General features: G+C 48.7%; 1 protein-coding gene across 1 annotated transcript in view, besides 3 other annotated features; it reads left to right on the forward strand.

Moving 5' to 3' along the window:
* Window positions 232-426: a silencer, noted in NCBI's record as "fragment chr8:11530424-11530618 (GRCh37/hg19 assembly coordinates)". NCBI's record gives its function as "represses an EF-1alpha promoter that drives an FKBP-Casp9 reporter gene in an ReSE screen in phorbol 12-myristate 13-acetate-treated (for megakaryocytic differentiation) K562 erythroleukemia cells {active_cell/tissue: K562(+PMA)}" and the evidence as "EXISTENCE:reporter gene assay evidence [ECO:0000049][PMID:32094911]".
* Window positions 2,245-2,767: an enhancer, noted in NCBI's record as "H3K4me1 hESC enhancer chr8:11532437-11532959 (GRCh37/hg19 assembly coordinates)". NCBI's record gives its function as "activates a minimal SCP1, AML or CMV promoter by ChIP-STARR-seq in naive H9 embryonic stem cells {active_cell/tissue: H9 hESC(naive)}" and the evidence as "EXISTENCE:reporter gene assay evidence [ECO:0000049][PMID:30033119]".
* Window positions 2,377-2,671: an enhancer, noted in NCBI's record as "tiled region #1846; HepG2 Activating non-DNase unmatched - State 21:Repr". NCBI's record gives its function as "activates a minimal TATA promoter and a strong SV40 promoter by Sharpr-MPRA in HepG2 cells {active_cell/tissue: HepG2}" and the evidence as "EXISTENCE:reporter gene assay evidence [ECO:0000049][PMID:27701403]".
* Window positions 4,252-26,914, forward strand: part of GATA4 (GATA binding protein 4) — an 83,068-nt gene continuing 60,405 nt past the window's right edge. Inside the window, exon 1 of the mRNA NM_001308094.2 lies at window positions 4,252-4,380. The gene's annotated coding sequence lies outside the window, so the exon portion shown is untranslated. The remainder of the gene's footprint in view (window positions 4,381-26,914) is intronic.

Raw genomic sequence — 26,914 nt, forward strand, 5'->3', positions numbered from 1 at the left:
TTTAAAGAACAGGGACAGCAGGCCTCAAGGCCGAGGTGCTCCCCAGAAAGTCTCTCTCTGGCCCTCTCCCTGGTCTGGATTCCAAGTGATTTTTGGAGTTTGGGCTGGTGTTATCAGCAGTCACATCATCCTCATCATCTCTGGTGGCCCCCCTGACTCAACAGGACAAACGTGGGAGCACAGAGGCACACCAGCCTCTGCCCAGGACAAGGACACTCAGGAGTCACAGCAGGTGGCTTCGCTCATGACGCCTGGGTTCCCTGGGTCCTGTGTCCTGGCCCCATTCTCCACCATCCCGGGCAGTAGTGGCCACTGGGCTTCATTAGAATTTTTCCCAGGGAAAGACTCATGCTGCCCTGGGCTGGCATAACGCCCTGAGCTAGGCCTCAGAACAGTGGAGTTTTAGGTTCCCCAAAATATATAAAACCCCTGGAAAATCTGAAACCATGGGGGACAAAAATGGGCTTCCTTTCACCTCACAAGAAACAATTCAGAAAAGTAGGGAGAAATAAAAATACCTGACGGTTCTCTAACACTCCCATGATTCCTTTTATTTTTTCAATTTTGGAACACAAAAGTGTGTTCTCTAGGACTTGAATACTTTTCCTGGACATTGCTGGCCTCAATAATAATGCCATGAGGTCCCCAGATTCTTGTAGGCACATGTGGAGGAGGGAGGCAGTGGGATGTCAGAGGTGAAGGTCAAACACAGGTGCTCTTGTTACTGTACCACAACGCTGGAAGTTATGCTTCCTAATTTTTTAATAAAGAAGTGAGTGTTCTCTCTGCTCCAGTGCAATTCTCAAGAGAACTTCATGTTTCACCTTCTTCCTTACTGCACATCACTCTCTCACAGAACTTTGCAGCAGGCAGGGCAATCTGCCCGTGAATATGACCCAAACTGGGATAAGTGGATGCTGCTGCTCCCAGTTACCTGCTACATAAAGAGGATGATGGAGACCTCCTCTCTAAATTTTGGGTCAAAACTCCATAACAGGTAGAAAATGGTATGGCAATTCCTCAAAAAACTTGCACATAGATAGGTCCATGTGAGCTGGCAATCCCCCTTCTAAGGATATACCCAGAAGAATTGAAAGCAGCAACTAAAACAGACATTCGCACGCCTGTGTTTATGGCAGAAATATTCACAGTAACCAAAAGGTGAAAACAACCCAAATGCCCATCAACAGATGAATGGATAAACAAAATACAGTCTTTGTGTGCAATGGAGTATCACTTGGTCTTAAAAAGGAGGGAAATTCTGGCCCCTGCTACAACATGGATGAAGCTTGAGGACAGGATGCCAAGTGAAATAAGCCAGCCACAAAGGAGTACGTACTGTATGATTCCACTTATAGGAGGTACCTAGAGGAGTCACATTCATGGAGACAGAAAGTTGAGGGCGGTTACCAGAGGTTATGGGAAAGAGGGGAATGGAGAATTAGTGCTAATAGGTGCAGGGTTTCTGTTTGGAAAGCTGAAAATGTTCCGGAGATGGAAGTGGTGGTAGTTGTACAACAATGTGAATGTACCTAATACTATGGACGTGTACCCTTAAAAACGGTTACAGTGGGGCCGGGCGCGGTGGCTCACTCCAGTAATCCCAGCACTTTGGGAGGCCGAGGCAGGCGAATCACTAAGTCAGGGGATTGAGACCATCCTGGCTAACAAGAAAAATACAAAAATTAGCTGGAGATAGTGGTGCGTGCCTATAATCCCAGCTACTGGAGAGGCTGAAGCAGGAGAATTGCTTGAACCGGGACTTGGGAGGCAGAGGTTGCAGTGAGCCAAGATCACACCACTGCACTCCAGCCTGGGCTACAGAGCAAGTTTAAAAAAAAAAAAAACCACGGTTAAAGTGTTGGAAGGCTGAGACAAGAGAACTGCTTGAAACTGGGAGGCAGAAGAGGTTGCAGTGAGCGGACATCAGGCCACTGCACTCCAGCCTGGGTGAGAAGAGCGAAACTCTGACTCAAAAAAATAAAATGAAATAAAATTAAAAAGGTTCATGTGGCAAATTTTGTAGTATGCGTATTTTACCATAATAATCATAAGTAATAAAAATAACTCCATAAGGCCGGGCGCGGTGGCTCATGCCTGTAATCCCAGCACTTTGGGAGGCCGAGGCGGGCGCATTACAAGGTCAGGAGATTGAGACCATCCTGGCTAACACGGTGAAACCCTGTCTCTACTAACAATACAAAAAAATTAGCCGGGCGTGGTGGCGGGCGCCTGTGGTCCCACCTACTTGGGAGGCTGAGGCAGGAGAATGGCATGAATCCGGGAGGCGGAGCTTGCAGTGAGCCGAGATCCTGCCGCTGCACTCCAGCCTGGGCGAGAGTGCGAGACTCTGTCTAGAAAAACAAACAAACAAACAAACAAAAAAAAACAACTCCATAAGGGAAAGCTACAAGTGAACAAGGCTCCTCCCTGGTGTAAATGACAGGGCCCCTGGAAAGACAAGGCCTGGCCCTGGCCTCTGCATCTGTGCCTTGTACTGTTGGGCTCATGCGTCAGGAATTTTAATGATCTGACACCACAGGGAGCTTTACACTAAAATCTTCCTGAAGCCTAGTTTCTACGAGTCATTTGGCAGGGGAAGAGTATAAAGACAGATAACAATAAAGGACACTTTATTCATCATTTGCAAAAATATTCAAAACCAAAAATTCTTGGAAGGGAAAAAATATTCATGTTTCCTTCATATTTTTCCTCTCTCTTCCCAGCCTGATTCACCTCTCTAGTTCTGTTCCCACCATATGACCTTACCTTTACTCTTTGATTTCTGGCAGTTCACTTACCTTTTCTGTTTCAGTTTCCTGGCCTACATTTGTTTTTTGTTTTTGTTGTTTGTTTGTTTGTTTGTTTTGAGATGGGATCTCACTCTGTCACCCAGGCTGAAGTGCAGTGGCATGATCTCGATCTCAGCTCACTGCAACCTCTGCCTCCCAGGTTCAAGCTATTCTCCTGCCTCAGCCTCCTCAGTAGATGGGATTACAGGCACCCGCCACCACACTCGGCTAATTTTTTGCATTTTTAGTAGAGATAGGGTTTTGCCACGTTGGCCAGTCTGGTGTCGAACTCCCGACCTCAAGTGATCTGCCTGCCTTAGTCTCCCAGAGTGCTGGAACCACAGGTGTGAGCCACCAAGCTCAGCATCCTGGCCTACATTTGGAAAAAAATATTAACTTATTCGGTTTCTCCCTACCTTGCAGAGATAGTTCTAAGGATCCCGTGAGACTGTGAACTGGGAAATATGTTAAAATAGAAAGGTATTGTGTTTCTTCCTTTCCTCCAAACTGCCTTTGCGAGATACCAACTCCCAACAGGGACAACTTCCCAAAATAAAACCAGGCAGGAGAGCAGGGAATTCCGCAGCAGACCTGTCAAGGGAGATCTGTTTGCCCGGTTCCTCAAATCACATGACAGCGGCAGCTCCCTGTGCCTGTGTTCCCAGCCCTGCAATGCTGGGTCATTTGGGAAGCAGGAAAGTGTGGTGGTCAGCAGAGCTGCACGCCCATGGCACGCAGAGAATGAGCTCCCCATCACCAAGAGTATTCAAGTAGAGTACGGATAATCGCCTTGGAGGGAATTCCTGATTTAAGCAGGAGCTTGGAATTCTGAGGTCTCTTCCTATTCTAAGAAGCCATGGATTTCTTTAATTTGAAGTTCAGTACCGGCTCCATTTCTTTCTTGCTGTGTGACTTGACCACAGGCAGATTCCTAACCTCTCTGAGCCGGTTACCTCATCTAGGTTAATAATATAGCATCTGCCTGCTTGACCCTATTGTAAGGAGCTCAGAAATGCTGTTATAGCAGTACTTGGAAAAAATTGTAATTTGTAATTGGCATGCTAGGAGGAGCTGCGCTGCTGTTACTATTATCCCATGCCCAGAGGGCGATCGCACAACATAAGCAAATGCCACAAAGCAGCCCTCCCTACCTCAATCTAAAGGCAAGACTAGAGTCTGAGAGGAGTCTTGGGGTGCAGGAAGCACATACGGTGAACTGAGCATTTCTCCCCATGAACGGCGATTCCTTGGGTCCTTCTGAGTGACCTTCCAGAAGCATCTCTGTAACCTTGTGAACACTGACTTTTTTAAAACTGTCCAGCCAGAACTTCATTCCCTAGCAGAGTTTCCTTCCACTTTTACACACACCAAAAAAAAAAAAGAGGCTTGCTGAATTAATGAACCACTTCTCTTATCTATTTTTCCTGTTATCTAATTCTGAGAAGGAAGCTGGGAGCTCAGAGGGAGCTGGGAGACACGGCTCACAACGTCTCCCTCCCACCCGGCTGAGAACAGCCTGGAATCCCTGTGCAGAGTTTGCCTCACACCAGGCCTTGAGCAGCCGCAGGGACGCCGCTCCCCACCGCGGGTGAGTCCCCTCCTGGCCCTCCTGGTGACCCCTCTGCCGTGGGAGGCTGGGATGCTGGGGGAATGGAAGGCTTGGGGAGTCTCCTTGCTCACCACAATCTCCAGCTGTGGGGAGAGGGAGGTGGGGGAGGGGAGGGGAAGGCTTCCCCAGCGTGGGGCCGAGGCGGAGGCTGTGGAGAGGCTTTGAGGCCTTTGCGGACAGGAAGGAAGGATGAGGCTCTGTGAAGGCCAGGCCGCAGACGCCGGGCTTCCTTCCCACTTTCTTTCTGTGTCCCTCCTTCTTCCACTGAGGTGGCATTTTAGTTTCTCTATTTCCCGATTCAGCTTCCCACTCCAACAACTGGAAATGGAGAGGGGTGCCTGGTGTCTCAGGAAAAACCTAAATAAATACATACACACCAGAAATCAAATGGATCTGACCAGGTATCCCAGGACCATCTGGCCTCTGCTTCCTCCAGAACACCCAAATCCCCTGGGGTCCCCCGCAGCCCTTGGTGTCCTCTTAAGAACGCCCTTGGAAACTTCAGGCAAACCTGGCCCATGTCAGACCCAGCCCACTTTGCTTTTGGGGTCAGAAAGTCTGTGCTGTTTCCCATCGCTTGGCTTCATTAGTTAGTAGCTAGGTCTCAGAGCTCTCAGAGTCGGATACTTTTCTTTGCCTATTCGCAGATCAAGGGTCAGCCAGGCTTGGTATAGGGTTTAATTTCCGATTATTCTGGAGCCAGACCTGAGATGGGAAGGAGGCGTGGGGGTGGGTTTTGCAGGTGGACCACAGAGCTCGTAGTTTTCTTCCCCAGGCCCACTGCGTGCGTTGCAGAGCTTGGTGGCTAATGCTTTTGGTTGCACACGCTTTTGCATACAAGTCGAAATTACCTCTACTTCCTACAAAGCCAAAGTCTGGGCAAATGAGCCTTAAATCTGATTTGTAGCTGAGAAAAGGGCTGAGTCAAAATAATAATAATAATAATAATAATAATAATAATAATAATAATAATAAATAGGAGTGACAGCTTTGAGAAGGAGTGCAGCTTTGAGAAGGCACGGGTCAGTGTCATAACCAAGGCTCTGAGAGTTTGAAACCTACCAAGTTTCCTGTGCCTAGTCCACATGCTCGCAGGTTGAAAGCAGACAACACCATTTGTTCACTCTGTAGCCTCAGGAGGACCCAGCAAGCGCTCTTCTGGAATTGGGTAGGATTGAGGGCAAAGCCTCTCAGTCCTGGTGTACCTATTACAAATATTAGCTTTGTGAAGCAGAGAACAGAAAATTGTTCCCTTTGACTATCTTTCCATCTCCAGCAGCCCCACCGGCTTCCAGGGGGTGATTTGAAAAGCTGTCACAAAACTTACAATCATCTGCATTGCTTATCTTTCCCCTGCCCAACTCTCTGGCTTGCTTACCCTTGCTAATGTTTTCCCAGGGCTGATATTCCTGCTCTTCTGTACGCTGTCCAAAAATAAGGGAAATTGAAAGGGTTTTAGTGGGAAAAGCAGGGACGGGCCAATCTGAGTTAAGGGAAAGCCGTATTATGTAAGGTGGCTAGAATCCTGTGATTTATCATCACAAAATTGGATTGGCTTTTTAAGTAGTAGTAGCAGTAGTTGTTGTAGTATTTGTAGTACTAGCAAATGTTTTGTTTCTGCTGGTCTCATTTTGATAAATCGGTCTACAGTAAAGGATACTTGAAAGTCCCACTTTATGAACTATTTTTTTTCAGAGTTCATTTTTAGTGACATAATCATTGCCACAAATTTCCTTTTTCTTCTAAGAATTTGTCTCTGAAAGTGATTTTGCATTCTCAAGTTCGATTAGGGGGGAGCCTTAAAAACAATTTTGTGTGCTTAGTATTGAGGAAGTGTTTATAAATTACTCTTTCTCCCTGGTCTAGTCTCAAGTATAATAAAATATCCATTTCAAATAGCTTTCTAATGTCTTGTTATATTTGCCAAGTGATTTATAGGACAGAAAATTATAGTTTGCGTGTGTAAAGTTCAGAGATATTTTAGAGCTTGGAGCAGAGGAGAGGAGAGGTTTTAGGGTTAAATTCAAGCCATCAATCTCCAATTGTCTAAACACTACACGAAGTGGAGATTCGAGGCAATTATCCGAATAATTGCGGGGGGGGGCACTTTCGCCTGAATTATCTAGATAAAAGAGCGACACAGGAGAATGTCAGTGGCCCTGAAGGCCCTGCCTCGGATCTCCACGGTCGCGCGAATTCGGGCAATTTTTCTGAAGGTTCTCAGACTCGGGGATGGGGGAGGAAGGGGACGTTTCTAGAAGAAACTTAAAGGGGGCTCGCGCCGCACGACTGTAGGTGGAGGGCGTGCGCCGCGGGACGCCCCAGCCGGGTCTGATAAAGCCCCGAAGCCGATCTAAGGTCAATAAACCAGGCGGCGTCAGGCTTGGGCCGAGGGCCGGGAGGAGAGGAGAGTGGAGCCCTCTCAGGCTGGCGGCGGAATGAAAAGGAACCCCGACTGCTGGGGTCCGAGCCCTGGGCCGCTTGCGGGGCGCGCAGCCGGGGAGAGGAGCTGGGCGCGCGGCCTGGGCCCCCCACCTGCCCGACCCCAGGGCAGCCAAGCACCCGCGGCCTTAAAAGTATCCCGGCGAGCCCTGAGTGGGCCGGGTGCTGGGCGAACAGTCCTAGCCCTGCACTGAGGTTGGAAAAGCGAACGGAAAGTGACATTTTTACAGGGGCGAGGTTGGGATCGGGAGGGAGATGGAGACCCCCGAATAATGGAAACGCAGAAGCCTCAGAGACACCAGCAACAGATAGAGAAGTGTCCCTAAGAGGGGAAAATGAGGAAGAGGGTAACAGTATTGTTAACTGGCCATGAATTTTAATCCCTGTTGTGTGTCGCCGAATAGTTTACAAACTCTTTTTGCACTGGGGTTTTGTTTCTCCCACTCCCCGCATGATGAGAAGAAAGAAAGATTGGGAGAAGTTAATCAGCTCAAAGTCACATCGCCGGGGTCTCCTGCCAGGGGGCTTGGACCAGTTGCTAAAGGACTTCCCGCCGGAGAAGGTCTTCCCAAGAGAGATTCCCACCCAGAGCGCGCAGCCCGCGGGGAAAACATAACGCGCGCCTGTAAATGACGCCGCTCCCACCTAGGCCGCTCTGGGGCCGCTTAACGTCCGGAATGTCCCGACCCCCGGCTCAATCTTTGGTGCAAAGCCTGAGTGGGCAGGCGGGAGACCAGGCGGTGCCGGTGGAGCAGGCTACTTCAGCAGCGCGAGGCTCGGAAGATCCCCGCGGACAGGCGCGACAACGGGCCCTGGAGCCGGGGAATCTCTGCAAGTAACTAACCAGGCCCCTCGGATTCATTGCCACTTTCCCGCCCTCGGCCCACGAGGCTGAGGAGCTCCCTCTCATCGCCTCTCCGTTCCTGGCAAGGCCGAAGCCGGTTTGCTTTGGATGCATTTCGATCAATCTGGCGCCACATGGGCCAGGTCACCTCGGACGGGTGTCGCGCCGACGTCCTTCGTGGTCGCACGCTGGTGGGCCAGGAAGCCCAGGCTATGCCCAGCCGGGTCCGAGCGGCGGTCGGTGGCGTGACCTCTTGCCACGCCTGGCGCTGCTGGGAACGTGTCTCGGGTCGCCCTTTGCGTCAGAGACCCCCCCCTTGGGGAGACCGGAATCCTCCAGCCGCTGCGCACGGATACCCTGGGCGGCGAGGAGAGCCCGGCTTCTGCGCACCCCTCTCCAGATGCGAGGTGCTCACCCGCCCCTCGCCCTGCTCACCCCGACGCCTCGGTCCCCACGCTCTGGGCAGCAAGACACATAGCGAAGCCCCTGACCCATTTCTTCTCAGTTGCGACCCCCTGTGTGAGACCCCTAAAGAGGCCAAGGATCACAGTAGGTGTTTCATCAAAATGGTCACTGTGTCCCCCAGGTTAGGCTGCTGGTATCTCAATATCCCCCTGCAGAGAGACCCCGCACCCCCGAATCCCATACCCCAGGCTGCAAAGCACAGATCTAATGCCTTCCTTCTCTGGCCGGATTTGGAGGGACATTGAGGGGCATGGGTGGCGCCCCAGGCTCGCAGGGTTCGTGGTCCGGAAAACCGAGCCCAGGGAATCTCCAGCTCCGTTCTGTTCGCAGAACCTTCGGGGGTTAGTCACAGGCCCTGGCCCGCGCGGGATCTGGAGGCAGAGATTTCTCGACGTTTGGGGACTTACAGCTCGTCTGGGAGCGACTGGATTCCCAGGCCTCCGCACGCTGAGGTTCCGGGGAAGAGCACTGTCTTCACCACTTCTCGACCTGCGCCCCAACCCATCAAATTTCCAGCACTCGTCCCCCTAGGTCTCATAAAAACTCCTGGCAGACCCTTCCGGGATCACGCGTGGCTCAACTCGGGGGCCGTAGCTACGATCCCCGCGCAGACGCCGGAATCCGGGGCCCGGTCCCCGCGCGGGGTGCGGCGCTCGCGGGGGGGGGGGGGGGGATGGGGTCGGTCCCTCTCGGGAACGGCTGCTGTTGTTTCTTTAGATACTGAATATAATTTCTCCCTCCTCCACCCCACTCGCTGTTCTTAACAATTTTATTTATTGGTTTACTATTGTCTTGTGAACGTTTCTTGTCTCCTCCTTGCCTTTTTTCATCCCCTTTCTCTCTTCATTTCTCTCTTTTTCCTTAATTCTGTTGCAAAGTTTCCTTTTCTTGCTTAATCAAAATTCTCCCCGCTTACTTTGTTCTTTGCCCACAGCATTCGTTCTTCTTTTCTCCTTGCCTGCCTGTCTTCTTTCCCGCTGTTCTTGGCCGTGGGCAGACCCGGCTGATGTAAGGACTGCAGCTTTTCCCTGGCATACTCTGCGCCTTCAGATGTGGTCTGCGTCTGCCTGGGTCTCTTCCCACCTCAATCTGAGATCCTTGCCCCTCACAATAAATTCGTTTTTATTCATTCTGATGTTTGTCTACAGAAGTTACTCGATAAAGATGTTTTGTTTCATGAATCAAAAGGCTTCTTGTCTGTGAATTATTTTAATTTCTGGATATTAAACTGCACAGTAGCTATTTTATTTGCCTTTAATAAATTTCTTAGGTTTTTACCTCTAACTAATGGCACATTTTAAATAATTTTCCAAGCACTAGGTGGTGTCTGACAAGATTGATTCACTCAAAAACGATGCAGAATTTCTTAAATGTAGAATCTTTTAAAACGGTGTCGGATGGCTTCTCCTGCTACATCGTTTATTTGTAGCTTCCACTAACTCTAAAGATTGAACAGGAAACTGATATGGTAGAAATAGATAACTTTGCCTTGTTCACTAGCTAAGATTTTATTTGCTTTCTGTTAGATCACAGTAGTGCTATCATAATAATGATAGAACAATTCGTCTTTTTTGTAGATAAATAATGATTTCGAGTGCTTATTATTTGTTTTAGGTAGAATTTGTTGTTAGATCATACATGAGAATTTTATTTCATAGAATAGTGCTGATAGATAGTAGATGCTTTTCATTTCCAACAAAACAGAGACAAGATTTTGCTTGTAAGAAGTTTTTTTCCCTTCAAGAAACTTAAAGAAAGCTTTAACTCTTAAAAAAAAATTCTAACAAAACTTTCCTTGAAGAAACAAAATTTTTAACGGGGAAAAACTTGACCATGAGAAATTCAGAAGGAAGATGTGAAAGTCAGCTATGTCTCCTCTGCAATGATTGCAGAACAACAAAAATTTGGAAAGTTACTATCCTACTGGTCAGACGTAGTAGTCCCCGTTTGTGCAAAAACACCTCTTGGCCGTGGCGATGTGGGGAGGGAGTGTGGTCCAATAGTCCTTCTCACTTCTCAGAGGTTGACACAGAATCTAACAGTTACCCTCTTAGAACTACTCCGGAGAATTCGGTAGGTAGTAGCTAGTTTCCACACCGGGGACCTGCTTTGTTAAATGCTATGGGTGTGGGGACAAGATACTGGGTTCAGAGAAAGTTCTGGGAAGAGTCTTGAGGTGGAAACAGCCTCGGTGCGCGGGGGTTTCTCGACAGCTCTCTGGTGTCTCTTACCCCCTAGGTTTTCCCAGCCTTCTCGCCGGATTGCCTTGGAAAGCTCTTGGTGTGGTGGCCACTGGGGTTTGCTCCAGCAGAGATAATGGAGGGGCTCGCTATCTAATCTGGACAGCAGCAGGAACAATCCATTAGACCTCAGCATTTATCCGGAGCGGGGGAGGACGGAGGGACGGGGCTGGCGTGCTCCACCTGGCCCTGGGAGGCGCAGAGCTGCCCCACAGGTGGCAGGGGGATTAATCAGAGAGTTTTGTGCTAAATCAAAACTCACCACTGCGTATTATGCTTGCTGATGCCGGTAAATAGTAATTCTACCCATTGTGACTGTTAGGAAGTAGCAGAATCCTTTTGGGTTGGAGGTATCGTTTTTTTTCTTTTAAGAAGTTCAATGAGCTTTACATTGTCTCATTCAAACTCACCCATCAAGGGGCGCGGTTCGATTCCAACTTTCACCGTATTCCTTGAGACTAGGTAGACTAAATCCATCCCCCCATTCTTTCATTCATTCATTCGGCAAACATTTACCAAGCTTTCCTCTGCGCTGGGCGTTATGCCTTGTACTGACAGGTTAAATTATTTGCCCAAGATGAGGACTAAAGCCGGAGACTGGGGCGGGACCCTAAATCAACTATTTCAGTCCCGCAACTGCTCACTTGTTTGCCCCAAGACACACAAATCGGAGATGTTTGGCGTTGGAAGGGCCCCAGAGGTTATCTAGCCAGCCTTCCATTCAGTGCAGGAATCCCTCCCCACAATGCCTGGGCCAGGCCCCTACCTGTACTCTCTGCCAGCTCAGGAAACTACAGCTCCCGGGTGGGCTTCCCATTTGAAACTGGCTCTGTGAACGGGAAAGAATTTCCCTGGGAGAAAATGGTCTTAGCCTGCCCACACCTAAACTTGGACTGCTGAGCCCTTAATGCTACTGTGACTCCCAAGTCTCCGGGTTTATGCCCCAAAAGTAAGAGTTCCCCTGCCCAGGGCAACCCATGTCCTCAGCCATAACTGGCTGGCCACGACCTGGGCTGTGCCATGGCTCCCTTCAGCCTTGCCCTGGTGATGGAGATCCCTGAGCTGCTAGAAACTAAAGCCCCTGAAACCTGAAGACGCTGTGGGCCTTAGTCAAGCCAACCTTCCTCTGATGTTATGGTGGATATTTGCTGCCAGGTGAGAGAAAACACTACAGGGAGTAGCCAAAGAATTGCCAGAGCCTAGATTCTAGATTCTAGTTCCCACACAAACACCTACAAGCTGGGTGACCTTGAGTAAGTTATTTCACTTCTATTTCTAGCATAGTCTAAAAATAAGGTGCAGGAATGTGCTTCTCAAAAGTTGAAAATGACATCTTTTTCAAAGATAAAATTTCTCCTTATAGTCTGTGTTCACAAAAGCCAATTTCTGAACCATAAACTCATTACAAAGAATGTTCTGGAAACCTTTTAGATTTGTTTAGATCCTAAATGTACATCGTCCCTAGGTCAGTGTAAGAGTTTAGACTCCAGTATTAGAATGTTGTGATTTGAATTCCATCTCCTCCACTCACTGGCTGTGTTTTCTTGGTCAAATTACTTAACGCTTCTGTGTTTCAGTTTCTTATATTTTAAAATCTTTATAAACCTTAGAGGACGGAAAGACTGCCCTAATCCCTGACATAATCATGTGTTCAGCTGGATGCTAATGTTCTCCTTGTTTTTGTTTGGCTTTGTGTGTTTTGTTTCTTAACCTATTACTTCAAAACTCTTCAGAAATTAAATACATCTACTGAGAGGTAGAAATTTATCTGACACACTGATAAATATGTTTTTTATTTAGCTTAGCCAAAATTGACTGCTGCTGGTGGTTGTGGAAATTGTGTGAGTTAACCTTTCCGAAAGGCAATTTGGCAATAGATATTCAAAACCCAAAAAGTGGTCATATTCTTTGACCCACTTTTTCTGGTAATAGAAATTTACCCTCAGGAAATAATCAGAGATTCACAAGATGCTTTACTTAGCAAAGTTTATAATTTGACAAGGACGCACCAAACATTATGAATTGAGGTGAAAAACAGAAAATAACCTAAACTCTAAACAATAAGAGTTTACTTACATGAACTATACTAAATCCATTACACGATCATTAAATTATGTTTTCTTAAGATATTCAATGACATGGGAAGTCTCGATTCTTAAGAAAGAAAAAGTAGATTGTGAAACACTTCTACCACAGTCGAGAAAGAGAAGAGAGAAGACTAATGTTTCCAATTCTTTCTGCCTAATGTGGCTAAGGATGGATTTGGTTGTCCCCGTTATACTTTTCTGTATTTCCAAATGGACTATGACAAACTCGTGTTTATTTGAAAGCAGAATAAACAAATATTTTGAGAGAGGTGAGGAAGATTGGCCAGATCCAAGACATGTCAGCCTTCTTCAGGCTTCCTACGATGTTTATGACTGGTGCGCTTTCGTAGCAAATCATTTGTTCCAGAGAATTCAGTTTTAGGGTCCCCAAAACTCAATGGACTCAAAACTCCAAGAACAGCCCTGGACTCCTGATTCCAGGCTAGAGATGTTCACAGTTGGTAGGAGTGATTTTTCCACAAGGAAGAGATTCCCCTCCCCATTTAGAAAATGTTTTCAGGTCCAAATTTTCTCAGAATTTCACTTGCAACCTTGAGTGTTTCTGAAATTGAAAACAATCATCTAAGTTCTTGTAACTTTTCCCTCTTCCACGACTCCCTTTTCTGGCAGGAGGATGTGGTGGGATGTGAGGCCAGGTGTGGGGTAGTGATGGGGGATGCTGCAAATAGAAGCTGATTATTCAGACCTCAGGGAGGGAGAAAAGGAGGAGACTTGGTGGGGAGGAAAGTCAGAGCTTTGTTGGTGGCCAAGAAGCCAGGTGTTCAGAAAGGAAGGCCGTTTGAAGGCAAGAGAGCCAAAGCGGAGGACAGGACTGCAGACTGAATGAATCACAAGACAGCTCTTAATAAATGTCAGGTTCCGGTTTTGAAACTGAAATAGTTTGCACTTGTAGAGAAACAAGTAGCAGATGCCTTCCTCCTGCTTTACAAGAAGGGTGTGGGATGGAGCTGGGGGAGAGTGGTCACAAAAGCAAGTAGAAGTGAGATCCCACCATAAACTTAGGAGACCTTCAAAAGATCTTGTACTGGGTCTGTTTTTTTTTTTTTAATCTTAATGTAGCACATCCCAGTCAACAGAAGATAAAAGTAACATCGAGATAAAGACCAATTTCACTTTTATTAATTAGCAAATAAATAGCAAATAAATTGCATTCTGAATATAGCATGAAATATAAACTTAAAATACCATTTAATAATGGTATTTTCTTTCTCTAAGTCCTACATTTAAAAAAAATTTTTGAGGTTGGCCTTCGTTGGTTGGGTGGGTGTGTTTGTTGATAATGGAGTGTGAATAGAATTTTTGCAAATCACAGAATTTTCTGAAGACTGGAGGCAGCTCCTCCTAAGCTCATCTCTTCCCTTCTTCATCTACAAGGCAAGCAAGGCCGAGACAGGCACCATAGCCATCTTCATGTAATTTTCCAGCCCCCTACACTGCACAGGCATAGTGGTAGGAACTTTCCTGAAGGATGATTCTTGCAGGGGTGAGTTCCAGACACCCTTGTTGACTTAATTCTCTACAAACAAAATCCTCAGGCTGGGCGCAGTAGCTCATGCCTCTAATCCCAGCACTTTGGGAGGCCGAGGCGGTCAGATCACGAGGTCAGGAGTTCGAGACCAGCCTGACCAACATGATGAAACCCCGTTTCTACTAAAAATACAAAAATTACCTGGGCATGGTGGGGCGCGCCTGTAATCCCAGCTACTCAGGAGGCTGAGGCAGGAAAACCACTTGAACCCGGGAGGCGGAGGTTGCAGTGAAGCGAGATTGCGCCATTGCACTCCGGCCTGGGTGACAGAGTGAGAATCCGTTTCAAAAAAAAAAAAAAAATCCTCAACCACAGTTGTTTAATCTGCCCCTTTTCTAGGAAGGGGATTAACTCCAAAGCCTGAGCAGACATCTGTGTTCTTGATGTGCAGAGGATGCCTTCCAAAGCAAGAGATGTGAGAAGTGAGGAGGACACAGCTGGGAGGGAAGAGATTTCCCTTGCCTTTGAAAAACGCTTCATTCTCTGCTAGCTAGGCATTCTGGGATGGGTGGGTCAGTATGTTGTTGACTGCTTTTCTTATCGCTGTACCATTTAGCATCCCCAGAAATGGCTCCTCAGGCACAGTTTTTTTTAGGCATCCATAGACCACCCTCCCCCCGCAGAGAATTATCCAGAGAAGTATCCAAGGTGCTCCATCTTTGTACAGTTTTGTAATAATCTCCACCTGTAATCAAAATAGAATCCGGGAGGTCAAGCAATCCTCCTCTTGGCCCTGCTTCAAACTGCTGAACCAAACAGAGCTCTGTGCCCTCATCTGTGAGTTGGGGGCAATGAATAATTGTTGTGGTTTATCAAAGTGGTATCACATACATCACATTTGAACCTCACAGCAACTCTCTGGTGTATTATTAGACCATTTCCCCCTTTTTATAGATGAGAAAACTGAGATTCAGAGATGTTGTAAAGCCAAAGGTCACAGTACTAATAAGTAACAGAATTGAACTCAAAATGCCTTGCTCTAACTACCAAGTGCTGCCTCCCTCACCCTCCAGAGAAAAGCCAAGAATACAGGAGATTGTCTACATGAGCTGATATGTAATGGCTCTGACAGGTTTTATTGGGATCCCTTACTCATCCAAAAATCAAAAAATTACACAGCTACAAGGCTCCTAGAACTGATCAAGCCCTGCCCCCGTTTCATTTGGCAGGTGTTGCCCAATGAGGTTGAGTGATTTGCCAAAGGTCACTCCATGAGTTCATGGAAAATGACCAATGTCATTTTTAAAAATTAGTTAAAAGTACCTTCTACCAAGCCCATTTTTATGGCTTATTTTAAGCAGGTTAATAAGTATACCAGGCACAGCTTAAACCCAACTGAGTAAATGCTGACACCAGTTTATAGATTCAGCAGATAAGTAGCAATAAGGAATTATTCATCTCTCATTTATCATCCAGCCTTTCCAAGGTGCAAGTTATAAAGTGAAGCAAATAGCAGTTCAAGAGCCCCCCACACACGTGAGATCAAAACAGTGAAAAACAAATTGATTTTCAAAGCTATACATTTATAATGCGTCTATGCCTGAGGTCTCCTGAAATATGAAAAAGAATAATACTTGGGAACATTTTTTGCATTTCAGAAATAGGCACATTTCTTATACAGAGCTCTATATTTGACCTTCAGACATATTCAATCATTAATTCATTCTTTTGAGTATGTATTGTGTACCTACTCTGTGCAGACCACTGTAGGGGATTATAGAATTACTAAAGGATATTCCAGCCATCAAGAACTTTTTAAACCTACTGAGGTGACAAAATAAAGCACACATGCATGCATGCGCGTGCGCGCATGCACACACACACACACACACACACACACTTGAATCTCAACCCTATAAATCTTTGTGTGGGGACGTTATGTGATGCCCAGAGTCAGTGGGTGTCAGGGGAGTGTGTGCATGGGGACAGGAGGGAATGGAAAGATTGCCTGGTGTGACTAGGGGAGCCACAACTAGGAACACATTGAGGAGGTGGCCTTGCCTCAACCTTCTCCCCAGTGACATATCTTTCTCATGAGAATAGTGTTAGGAAAATTCATAGGCAGAAAATAAGACAAAGAATTGATGGCCCCAATTAAGAACCTAATCCCCAAATCCCCTGAAGCACAAACTGGTGGAGAGATGGGTGAGGGAACAATGGGGGCAATAGCAGTTATAATATTTGTAATGTCTGCAGAAAATGAATAAAATCAACAGATGATTTATTTGGGAGGTGAGCACTAATGAATTCTCATGTGTTATTCAGAAAGGTCGGTTTACCTTATATTTTTATCACTCCCAGTCTTCCAGTGGTGGACCTGAGACCCAAAGTTCAATATAAATAACAAAGCAGCGGCAAATCCAATAAGCGACTTTGCTCTTAGCTGCCCAGACAAGAAGCTGCAAGACGACTTCTGGAACCTCCCATGGGTCAATTCACTGTCCCTCCCCAGGGATGGGGCCTGTTTCTTCAGGCCAGTAACCACTTATTTCTGGGCCCTGCATCTGTGAAACTGAAGCATTTTCCAGTGTAAAAAGAAATGGGAAGACATTCACTCAAAATCCTTTACTTGGGATATTGGGAAACTGAGGCTCAGCAAATTCAAATGACTTATACATAGAGTGACCACATAATTTATGCAAAATTATAAGTGAATGTGTATATCACTGATGATTACCCAGAACAGCAGCATGCACCTGACCTGTTTCAGGCATCCAGGACATTGGATCACCCCCAATAAACAATGAGAATCAGAACAAGGACCCACCCATTATGCCCCACACACACTTGGCTACCTTCTTTTGTTTATTTTGAAGGCTGAGTCCACAAGACCATTAGGAAGATATTCAGCCTAGAGGTGCAATATGTGCCTGGTGCCCATTTTGGCTTGGTTTATCCCCACTCTAAGTAGTGCATGGAATGACTGCGGTTTTGAATGTCTATGACCTCCCTTTACCTCATCCTCAAGCCCTCACCCACCCCCACCCTTGGCTGGGCCAGGGTCACTGTTTCCAGTGCCCTGCAAGGGGTGTGGGCAGCAGCTCTAACCAGGCTGCCAGACTTCTAGGCTCTGCCCGAGAGCCCAGGGCTGCCTTATCTCTGATCCTCTCACCCTACTGATTACATCAGGGCGAGGGAAGTTTGGCCTTAGGAGTCAATGTATAGAGGGGAGGTATCAATTCCTATAGTAGCATGTTGAAATGGATAACAGAATATAACCAGGGTGCCAGGGAACCTTGTCCTGGCTGTGCTGGTAAATAGGTGTGTGGCTCTATAGCCCTGTCTGGATACTACTTGCCTCTTCTGCAAAATGAGTGGATTGGACCAGAATCCTTGAAGTCCCTTGCAATACCAGGGCTCCACATCAGTGTCAGAGAGAGGCTGTCTCAGGACTGATAAACGGGCCAAAGGTACCTGGTGCCATAATCACCCACCAATGGAGGATGAAGGTGTGAAGAGGTGCCACGTGGCATCTTCCGCACATGAGCCTCTGTGTTTGCACACAGTGGAAGAGACCATGGCGCCCGTGTCTCAGCCACAGCCCTGATACCACATCTTCAGTCATCAAGGATGGGGATTTACACTGTAATAGGACAAAGTGGAAACTCCACTTTTTAAAATTCAATTCAGCAAACTTTTTTAAAAAATGTCTACTATATGTTAGAAACTGGAAAATACAAAGATGTCAAATATAAGATTTCTGCCTTCAAGGAGACTAAAATTTTGGAGAGAGAGGTATATAGAGAGGCAGATGTATAGACAGGTTAAACTAAAATACAGTGTGATAAAGGCTGTAGAAACAGAAGGGGAAAGAGACTGATTCTGGAATAAGGATGGAAATTAAAAAAACAAAAAAAAGCTGGCCTGGTGTGGTGGCTCTGGCTCAGGGCTGTAATCCCAGCACTTCTGGAGGTTAAGCAAGAGGGCAGTGAGAGGGTCACTCCAGCCAGGAATTCCAGAACAGCCTGGTCAACATAGTGAGACCCCGTCTTTACAAACAAACAAACAAAATAGCCAGATCTGGTGGTGCGCACCTGTACTCCTCGCTACTCCGGAGGCCGAGGTGGGAGGATCGCTTGAGCCCAGGAATTGGAGGCTCTAGTGAACTATGATTGCACTACTGCACTCCAACCTGGGTGAAAGGGAAACACCCTGTCTGTCTCTCTTCAAACAAAAAAGGTTATGTAAGAAGATACCCTGCACAATACCAATGCCTTGCCCAGAGGAGCAGTTTTTGAGTTCTGCAGTCAACCTACTTGAATTTAAGTCTTGGCTCCACCACCTTATAAGCGGGGCAAGTTACTTAATAGTTTGTGCCTTGGTTTCTTCATCTATAAAATGGAGGAAATAGAGTGACTGTGTGGATAAATGATTGTGTGGATAATCAATCCACGCAGCATACTTGGCGCTGTGCCTGGCATATAGCAATGTCCAGTGTTACTCAGTAAATGTTTGCCTAGTAAATGGATCCCAGTTTTCATCTGCAATCCAAGCCTTTTATTTTGCATATTCAGATGGGCCTCCCATTTTTAGTTCCTCACTGAACATATTCATTATGAATGGCTAAGATTGAGTTCAGACTTAGGATCCTGGTGTTCCCACCCTAAGAGATAAGGCCTCACTCTGTTGCCCAGGCTGGCGTGCAGTGGTGCCATCACTGCTCACTGCAGCCTCAACCTCCCAGGTTCAAATGATCTTCCCACCTCAGTCCTCCTGGTAACTGGGACTACAGGCACGTGCCACCACAACCCGCTATGTTTTTCTATTCCTTATTAAAGATGAGGTTTCTCCATGTTGTCCAGGCTGGATTTCGAGAGCTTAAAGTCACAAAATGTTGGGATAGGAAGGAACCTGGGAGACAGTTTAGTAGTCTCTTCATTTTATGGACAGAAAACTAAGGCTTAGAAAGTTAAGTGACTCGCCTGTGGGCATGGCAGTCCTCTGGTGGCAGTCGTGGGATTAGAATCCGGGAATCCTGACTCCCAGACCAAGGAGCTCCCTCCAGCCTCAACTAGATCCAGATCCTCGAGGCCTAAGCTTCGCTCTACACTGACACTCAGGCCACAGCAACCTGGGGTCCCTCCCTCCTCTTTCTATGGCGCCCCAAACAAAAGACTACCTGTTTCCCAGTACTTAAGGCACATCTAAGGAAGAATTTAGGACCTTTCCCAGTCCAGGGCTAGCTCTCAACTCAAAGAGGGAAGAAAAAAAAAAAATCAAAAACCACTTCAGACCATAAATGCTCCATGTTGCTTACAATGTTGACTTTCTCCTTTAATTCTCATTCAGGGAGACTGCTTCGCAGGGGATCTGTTCATGATCCTCACCTTAGTGTCACCAACAGAGGTGGCCGTGGGTGCTTTCCGTAGAAAGGGAAGGTGACAGGTGAGGCAGGCAGGAGCTCGGGCCACCTGTTCTCCAGCCTAATGGCCTCAGGTAACAGCCCAGCAGCCTCACTCCTACTTCCCCAAAGGCAAGAGAAGAAAAACGAGGCAACAACCAGAGGGAGGAAGGTGGAACTGGGGGAAACTGAGCGCAGGGGTGGAGAATGAACTAAGCTCCATCACACCTTTTCAAGCACAGCAATGACAGTGTGTGCTGTTATAAAAGAACACTTGCTCCATGAGAACATTAGAAACGTACAAAAAATTTCACGCAAGACCTCGCCGTCTTTATACGCAGGTGTATTTACGTTGATTTCTCTACCTATCTTATCTATCACTATATAATTCGAATGAACCCTAATAGAATATTGACCGGTGTCCTGAATTTTCTCCTCCCGTGCACAGCGTGAGTAATTCCCGTGAAACTATGCTCATGCGGATCTAGATTGAATCTGATCCTTCGGGCCGCGGCGGCTCCGCCTGGGAGGGCGTGGCCCCCGCGCTGGGGCGGGAACCGGCTTCTGGGGACCCGCGGCCTCTGCGCCTCAGCCGACCTCCACCGCGGGTGCGTGCGGGGGTGCGGGGGTGAGGGGTGCGGGGCTGCTCCGTCGGGAGGCTGGGAGGGAGAGCAGGCGCCGGGACCCACGCGAGGGCGCGGACGGACGGGGGGCGGGAAGCGAGGCTGCCGAGGGGAGGAAGCGGGGCCGGCGCAGCGGGCGCCAGGCCGGGCAGAGGCGGGGGCGGCCGGCCGGGGGCTGACCCCGAGCGCCGCCGAGTTTGCGCCGCCCGCCGCCCCGCGCTCGCCTCCAGCCGCCTGGGGTTCCGCGGCGGCCGTCAGCGCGCACCTCATCAATAAGGCCTGCCAGGCGCCGGCCCCGCGGCCATCCATCACCCGGGCTGCACCCCCGGCCGCGCACCGAGGCTTCTGCCAGCGCCTGCGGGGCCTCTGCGTGGAGTGGGCCGGCAGCGTTTTTCTACCCGGCAACAAATACATGGCTTTATTCCACTTCTTAATCCCAGTGTCTGTTAACGATGTGGTGTTCATTTGTTCCTAAAGAGCTGTAAGGAAGCTTAGAAATGATTCGGCAAGCTGGGCGCGGTGGCGCATATTTGTAATCCCAGCACTTAGTGAGGCAGAGGCGGCAGGATCGCTTGAGCCCAGCAGATAGAGACCAGCCTGGGCACCATGGCGAAACTCCATCTCTACGAAAAAATAAAATTAGCCAGGCGTCGTGGCGCGCGCCTGTGGTCCTGCTGGGGAGGCTGAGGTGGGAAGATGTGAGCCTGGGGAGGTAGAGGCTGCAGTGAGCTGAGATCGCACCACTGCAGTCCAGCCTGGTGACAGAGTGAGACCCTGTGGAGAAAGAGAGAAAGGGAGAAAGAAGAGAGAGAGAGAGAGAGAAAAAAAGAGGATTGATTCAGCACAAACACACACACACACACACACACACACACACACACACACACAGAGAGAGAGAGAGAGAGAGAGAGAGAGAGAGACAGAGGATTGATTCAGCACAACCGGTGCATTTCACAGATGAGGAGACCGAGGGCCAGAGTGGGCGGCTGGCGTGCCTGAGGCCACACCAGGAGGAGGTGATGGAAACTATACTGGGGCCTGCATCTCTTGCCCTACCCCCACTCCCAGCCCTTGTGCCCTCCAAATGGGCACTCCGCAGGTCCAGGATCGATATGAGTGTTTGGCATCGAATGTGTGAAAAGGGCCAAGTCATAGGTTATGGGTGTGGGTGTCAGTGCATGAACAGCACAGAGTCCGCAGGCATTCTGTCCCCCAACTCAGGCCACAGCCTGTGTGTGCGTCTGTGTGCATGTGTGTGCATGTGTGTGTGTGTTGAGGTCCAGAAAGAGTACTAGGTAAAAGAGAGGGGGGAACACCTCTACATTAAAAGCAATGTGTTCCTTGAATTCATTTAGGTCGTCTCCCACCTGCCCTTTTCCCCAAGGAGGTGCCGTGGGTCCCCCTTCCTGCTCGTGTCTGCCAGCGCTCACTCCTGCTCCTGTCTGCAGGACGCTTTTGTTCTCCGGTTTGCGGGTAGAAACTTGTGTTCATCCTTGTATCTACAAGTTTGCATGATGCCTGGCACATAGTAAACATTCAATAAATGTTTGCTTTGTGAATTGTAGCTCTTATGAGGGAATTCGAATAATTCTGGATCAGAGGGCTTGTAGGCTGAAAGAACTCACAGATCAGGTGTCCAATCTCATTTCATAAGAGGGAGACTGAGGCTCCCAGCATTGCCCCATTGAACCGTTGCCTGTTTCACTCAAGGCCTTCCTCTGTAAGGTCAGAGCTGGCGTGGCCCTCAGGGATCCTTTCTTTTCTTCCCCCAGAACATTGCGCTGCCACCAGCTCTCCGAGCCGTGGACTGCATCCTCATCACTTCTTTCCCTTGCCACCTTTTGGTTCCTCTGCTGCTTAATTAGCAAGCTCTCCCAGGGTGAGGGACAGAGAAGATCATGGAAGCCAAACTGTCTGCTTTGTTCCTAAGAGGAAACACAATATTTTGTGGGGGATTGTTTTGTTTTTGTTCATGGTGTTGTTTTCTTAGTGTTGGTGGTGTTGGATTTTAAATTCAAATTCAAATGACGAAATTAAAATCAGTGACCAGTGGGTGTCTGCCAGTCTTAACATCCATTTTTCTTCCATGATCACAGAGGTATGACTGGAGTTAGAAACAATCATATTATCAAGAACTCTGGGAAGAGGTAGAAACAATCTCTCTCCTCTCTCTCTCTCTGTCTCTCTCTCACTCACACACACACCTCACTTTTATTGAAGAGCAAGGGTAGCAAAGACATCCTGTGGCCCAGGCAGTCAGTGGCTTTGGGCTCTTGTGTGATGTCCACTAGACTATAATTGCTGTATATACAAGTCCAGAGTGTGGTTTTATCTGGCACAGAGCACTTTCATCCTGCTACCTTGCGCCCTGATGGTAGCCCATCCATGTGAACATCGTGACCTGCAACTGAGCGTAATGGAAATTGACTTAAGAATGACAGCCAGAGGCTGGGGGCGCGGTGGCTCACTCCTTTAATCCCAGCACTTTGGGAGGCCGAGAGGGGTGGATCACCTGAGGCTGGGAGTTCGAGACCAGCCTGACCAACATGGAGAAACCCCGTCTCTATTAAAAATACAAAAATTAGCCGGGCATGGTGGCACATGCCTGTAATCCCAGCAACTTGGGAGGCTGAGGCAGGAGAATGGCTTGAACCCGGGAGGCAGAGGTTGCGGTGAGCCAAGATCGCGCCTTTGCACTCCAGCCTGGGCACCAAGAGTGAAACTCCATCTCAAAAAAAAAATAAATAAAATAAATAAGAGCCAGAGTAATGGGTTCTGCAGAACGATATCATCTTGTACAGAAAAGGCCATGTTTCACTGACTGCTTTTCCCTTAGTCCATTCAGAAATACAGTCCTACGCTCAAGGGGCCAAAGCGTTTCTCTTTCAAGGCCAGTCCTTGGCTTACCCTTGCCTCAGGGGAACACCTGGACCAAACTCAGTTTCCAAGGACTGACTGGTTCTCTCCGCTTCCCATCACCCTCTCCCAGGCAGCCATCAGGTTGTTGAAAGGGACTTAGCAATCCCTGAGCTTCTGCTGTTTGGCTTCAAGACCTTCAGGATGTGAGAGGAGGATAACCCTCACTCTGACGTCACCCTTCCTGCAGCCTGCCCAAAAACATGAGTGCACCGGCGCTCGTATGTTTGTGCCATACATGCTCAAGATAGGCACTGGAGCTGTACCCAGGATGGACCACTGTGGCCATTCCTGTGGACTGAGGATGAGCAATAGGGAGGACCAACCTTGAAAAATGATCCTTTAAAAAGAAATGCAAGGCTTTCTTTTGTATAGAAATCACTTTTCTAACATATTTTAGATGGGAGTCAAACGTGTACCAGGGATGTGGACTCGCACTAAAGACAGGATGGGGCTGGAGAGAATGGGAGCTGAAGAGTCTTATCCTGCTCCACCTGTGCTCTTTTTCCTTCTGCTTTTTTCAAAGCCAGATTTATTGAAGTGCAACTTATATACAGTAAATTCACTCCTTTTAGTGTACAGTTTTCAGAGTCTTGACATACACACAAATTGTGTGACCACCATCACAAGATATGAGAATAGTCCCAGCGCCCCTCCAAATTTCTTCCTCCCCCTCTACAGTCAACTCTTCCCCCTCCTCAGCCCCTGGCAACCTCTGATCTGTTTTCAGCCCCTATTGTTCTGTCTTCTTCAGAATGTCATAGAAAATGGATTTTGTCTATCATCTTTTGAATATTCTTTTACTTAGCTGAATGCATTCGAGATTCATTAGTGTTGCTGGGGTGTTTGTTGTTCATTCCTGTTTGTTACTGAGTAGTATTCCATTGTATGGATGTACCTCAGTTTACCTATTCCCCTGCTTAAGGATCATTTGAGTGGTTTCCCGTTTGGGGCAATTATGAATAAAGCTGTAGGTTTTGAAAATAACAACAATACTACTTTAGAGTTTAAAGTTTAAAACACAACTTATATTTAGCTCTTCTTGTCCTGAAGCTCATTGCAAATAGTATATCTGCTGGGGCATGTTCAAAGACTGGGGTGAGGACGTCACAATCCCTGACAAAAAGTGGTGTATGGAGGGGTGTGTGCATCTGCATTGGACGTGTGGAAAGAAAGATATGAATTCAGAGCTTCAGAGGTGCAGCAAAGACAGAGTGCTCACAGGGTGATTGAGAAACTGAGGTGGCAAGTAAGTCTTTCATTTACTCTACCTGTTCTGAGCCCACCAGCCCCTGAGCCTACCCATCTGCTCAGGGAGAGTGTGGGCCCCTGGAACTGGGCATCTGCAGAGACTTCCTGGGGGAGGGGTGGACTTTGCCCCTCACTGGCGGAGGCCCCCCGGGGAGATGGTGTGAAATAGGGGAGGGAGGAGGCGATGAGGTCGGGATAGCTCTGCACCTTCCTGAGTGACATCCTGCCAGTGCCCTCCACCTAGGTGCGGAGGGCTCCATTTCACTGCGCCCCTTTGCACCTTGGATTTTCTCTCTTCACTTCCTTGCCCTTTGGCAACTTGCTGTTCATTAGCACCTCTGCTGCAGAACAGGGGGCAGCACCAGAAGTCCCACTCTAACCGGAGAGCCCCTGTCCTTCTGTCAAACACACGCACAGGACTAACGAGGGGGATGAGTGGAAACCAGCCGCAAAGAAATGGAGTGGGAGGTTCTTCTTTAAAATCCATTCCGTTCAGAACACAGTGAACACCCTTTGACAGAACAAGGACTATCTAGCTATTCCAAGCTCCGTGCCTCCCCTTTCTTGAGACTGTTGTTACAAGAAACCGATGATTTCTAACAATAGGAACCTCCCAGCTGGGGAAGCGGTGTTCGGAGGGGAGCAGCGCTCTCGGTGGGCACCTGCTGCAGTTGGGGAGGGAGAGGTGGTCGTGGAGGCCACTTTCCCCTCCACCGCCAGGGAAGCCTGGTCTGTCTGAAGGGGTCCTCGCCTGCGCCGAGGATGGCCGGACGGCCGGGCCTCCGGCCCCAGCACAGCCCCCCTTTCAGAGGACCCCGGGTCTTCGCGCCTGCGGACCAGAGGCTGTTTTCGCACTTGGGCTTCGCGCTTCCTTGACACTTTCCTGTCTCTGCTCGCCGCGCCAGGTCGCGGCGCCTGCCTGGGCGTCTTCTCCAACTCCGGGTCACCTCGGGGCGAGGGCAAGGGTGCCGGGCCGGTGGGGCGTTCCGGCCACCACGGGGCGGAGGAGGGAGCGGCCTTTGCGGAAACGGGCCGAGCTGGCTCAGGGAATGCCAGATCTCTGGGGGACCCACCAGTCCCCTGATGTGCGCGTTGAGGTCTTGGGCCTGGCGGCGCTCCAGCCGCGGGTGTCCCTACCATAACCACTGTCCTCCCCGGGAGCTGGGCAAGAGGAGCCCTGGACTCTGGGTTGACCTCGTCCCGGTCGGGTTCTCTCTCCTCCCACCCAGGCCCGGCCGCTTTCTGGCGTCCGTCCTCTCCCAGGAGGTCCTGGCCTCTCTCTGCGTCGCCAAGTCTCTTGACTCCCAGCTCGCCTTAACTTCCCAGGGTCTGTGGTCTCTCTCCTTTCTCTGTCTCTGCTCTCTCTGCCCGTCCATTGCCTGCTTTGGTTTTTCCATAATATTTCATCATTCAACACTGTATTTGACTTACTTATTGTCCGTTTTTCTCTTACAGCATGTAAGCTGCTTAGGATAGAATTCTTCTCTACTTTGTTCCATGCTGAGTACTCATGCCTGTAGTATTCCTGGCACAGAGAAGGTGCTCAGTCAATGGGAAATGAATGAGTGGGTGAGTGAGTGAATGCATGAGTGAATGAATCCCCATCTCTCCCTCTCTGCTGCTGGCCAGTCATTTCTCTCTGCCCTGGTCTCTGCCTGTCCTCCTCTGTCTCTCTCGCTTTTCTCTCCCTTCTCTTGTTTCTCCTCCTCCACTCCTCACCCTGCATTTTTTCCTCTATCCGGCTGACTTGGTCTCTCCATCCTTCCAGGATTTATGGGTTGGGCTCCCTATGCCTCAGAAAGGGTGCCCCTGGCTTCTGGTCAGCCTTCATCCCCGGAGGCCCGGGGACTCCCTCGCCAGTCTAACAGCCTAAGCATCTGGCCAGGTTCCCAGCTCAACTTCCCAAATCCTGGCTGTGCACAGGGAAGTCCCTTCTTCCTGCAGTCCCCAGGACCTGGGGACCCCGGGGTGTCCTTAGGAGCAGCCTAGATTTGAGCTGGTGGTTTGTAGGCGATAGCAGCTCCACAGGCAGATGAAGCCACCAGGGAGATTTGTGCCACCCAGGCTGGGCCCCTCCCTCCACTTCTGGCCAGTATTCTACTCTGAGAAATGGCAGTCCTGCCCACCAGTGCACCAGGTCCCTTGAGGGGAATGTTTCATTCTCCATCTCCGAGCAACTTTGATGGATGTTATTAACAGCCCTTTTTAAAATTTTAATCATTCACCCAACACTTATTGAGCACCTACTGTAATCCTTGCTTTGGGCAGACCAGGATTTTGATCACTGCATTCACAGAGCATACCTTTTGGGGGTGTAGAAGGGAGGTGATCGGTGCATGTGTGTGGACAGCCAACCCCATATAAATTACTTTATAACTTCAGGGGGCATGGACAAGTGAATAAAGCACAAGATCATTTTACTAGTCCAGGGATGTTAACCCTGGTCTTGCTCTGGGCTCAGCACAAACAACACTGTGACTTCAAAAGTCTCTAACTGGGGAGTAGCAAAGCCCCATATGTGAAAGAATTGGGGCCTGTGTCACCAAGAGAGATCTCAGAGGAGGCAATCCCCGAAGAAAGGGCCCCTTACAGACTCAAAGAACCTCCAGTCTGGGAACCAGACTCCCTATGTTCTGGGTGGTGGGTGGCCTGGGCAGTAGGTGTTAGCAGCTCTTTCAGGCTGCCATTGTCTCCAGGTCCTTGGATGGGGAGGGAGAGAGGGAGCCAGGTTGGCAGCAGGAAAAGAAACATACAT

Source organism: Homo sapiens, chromosome 8 (genome assembly GCF_000001405.40).
Source record: "Homo sapiens chromosome 8, GRCh38.p14 Primary Assembly".
Classification (NCBI taxonomy): domain Eukaryota; kingdom Metazoa; phylum Chordata; class Mammalia; order Primates; family Hominidae; genus Homo; species Homo sapiens.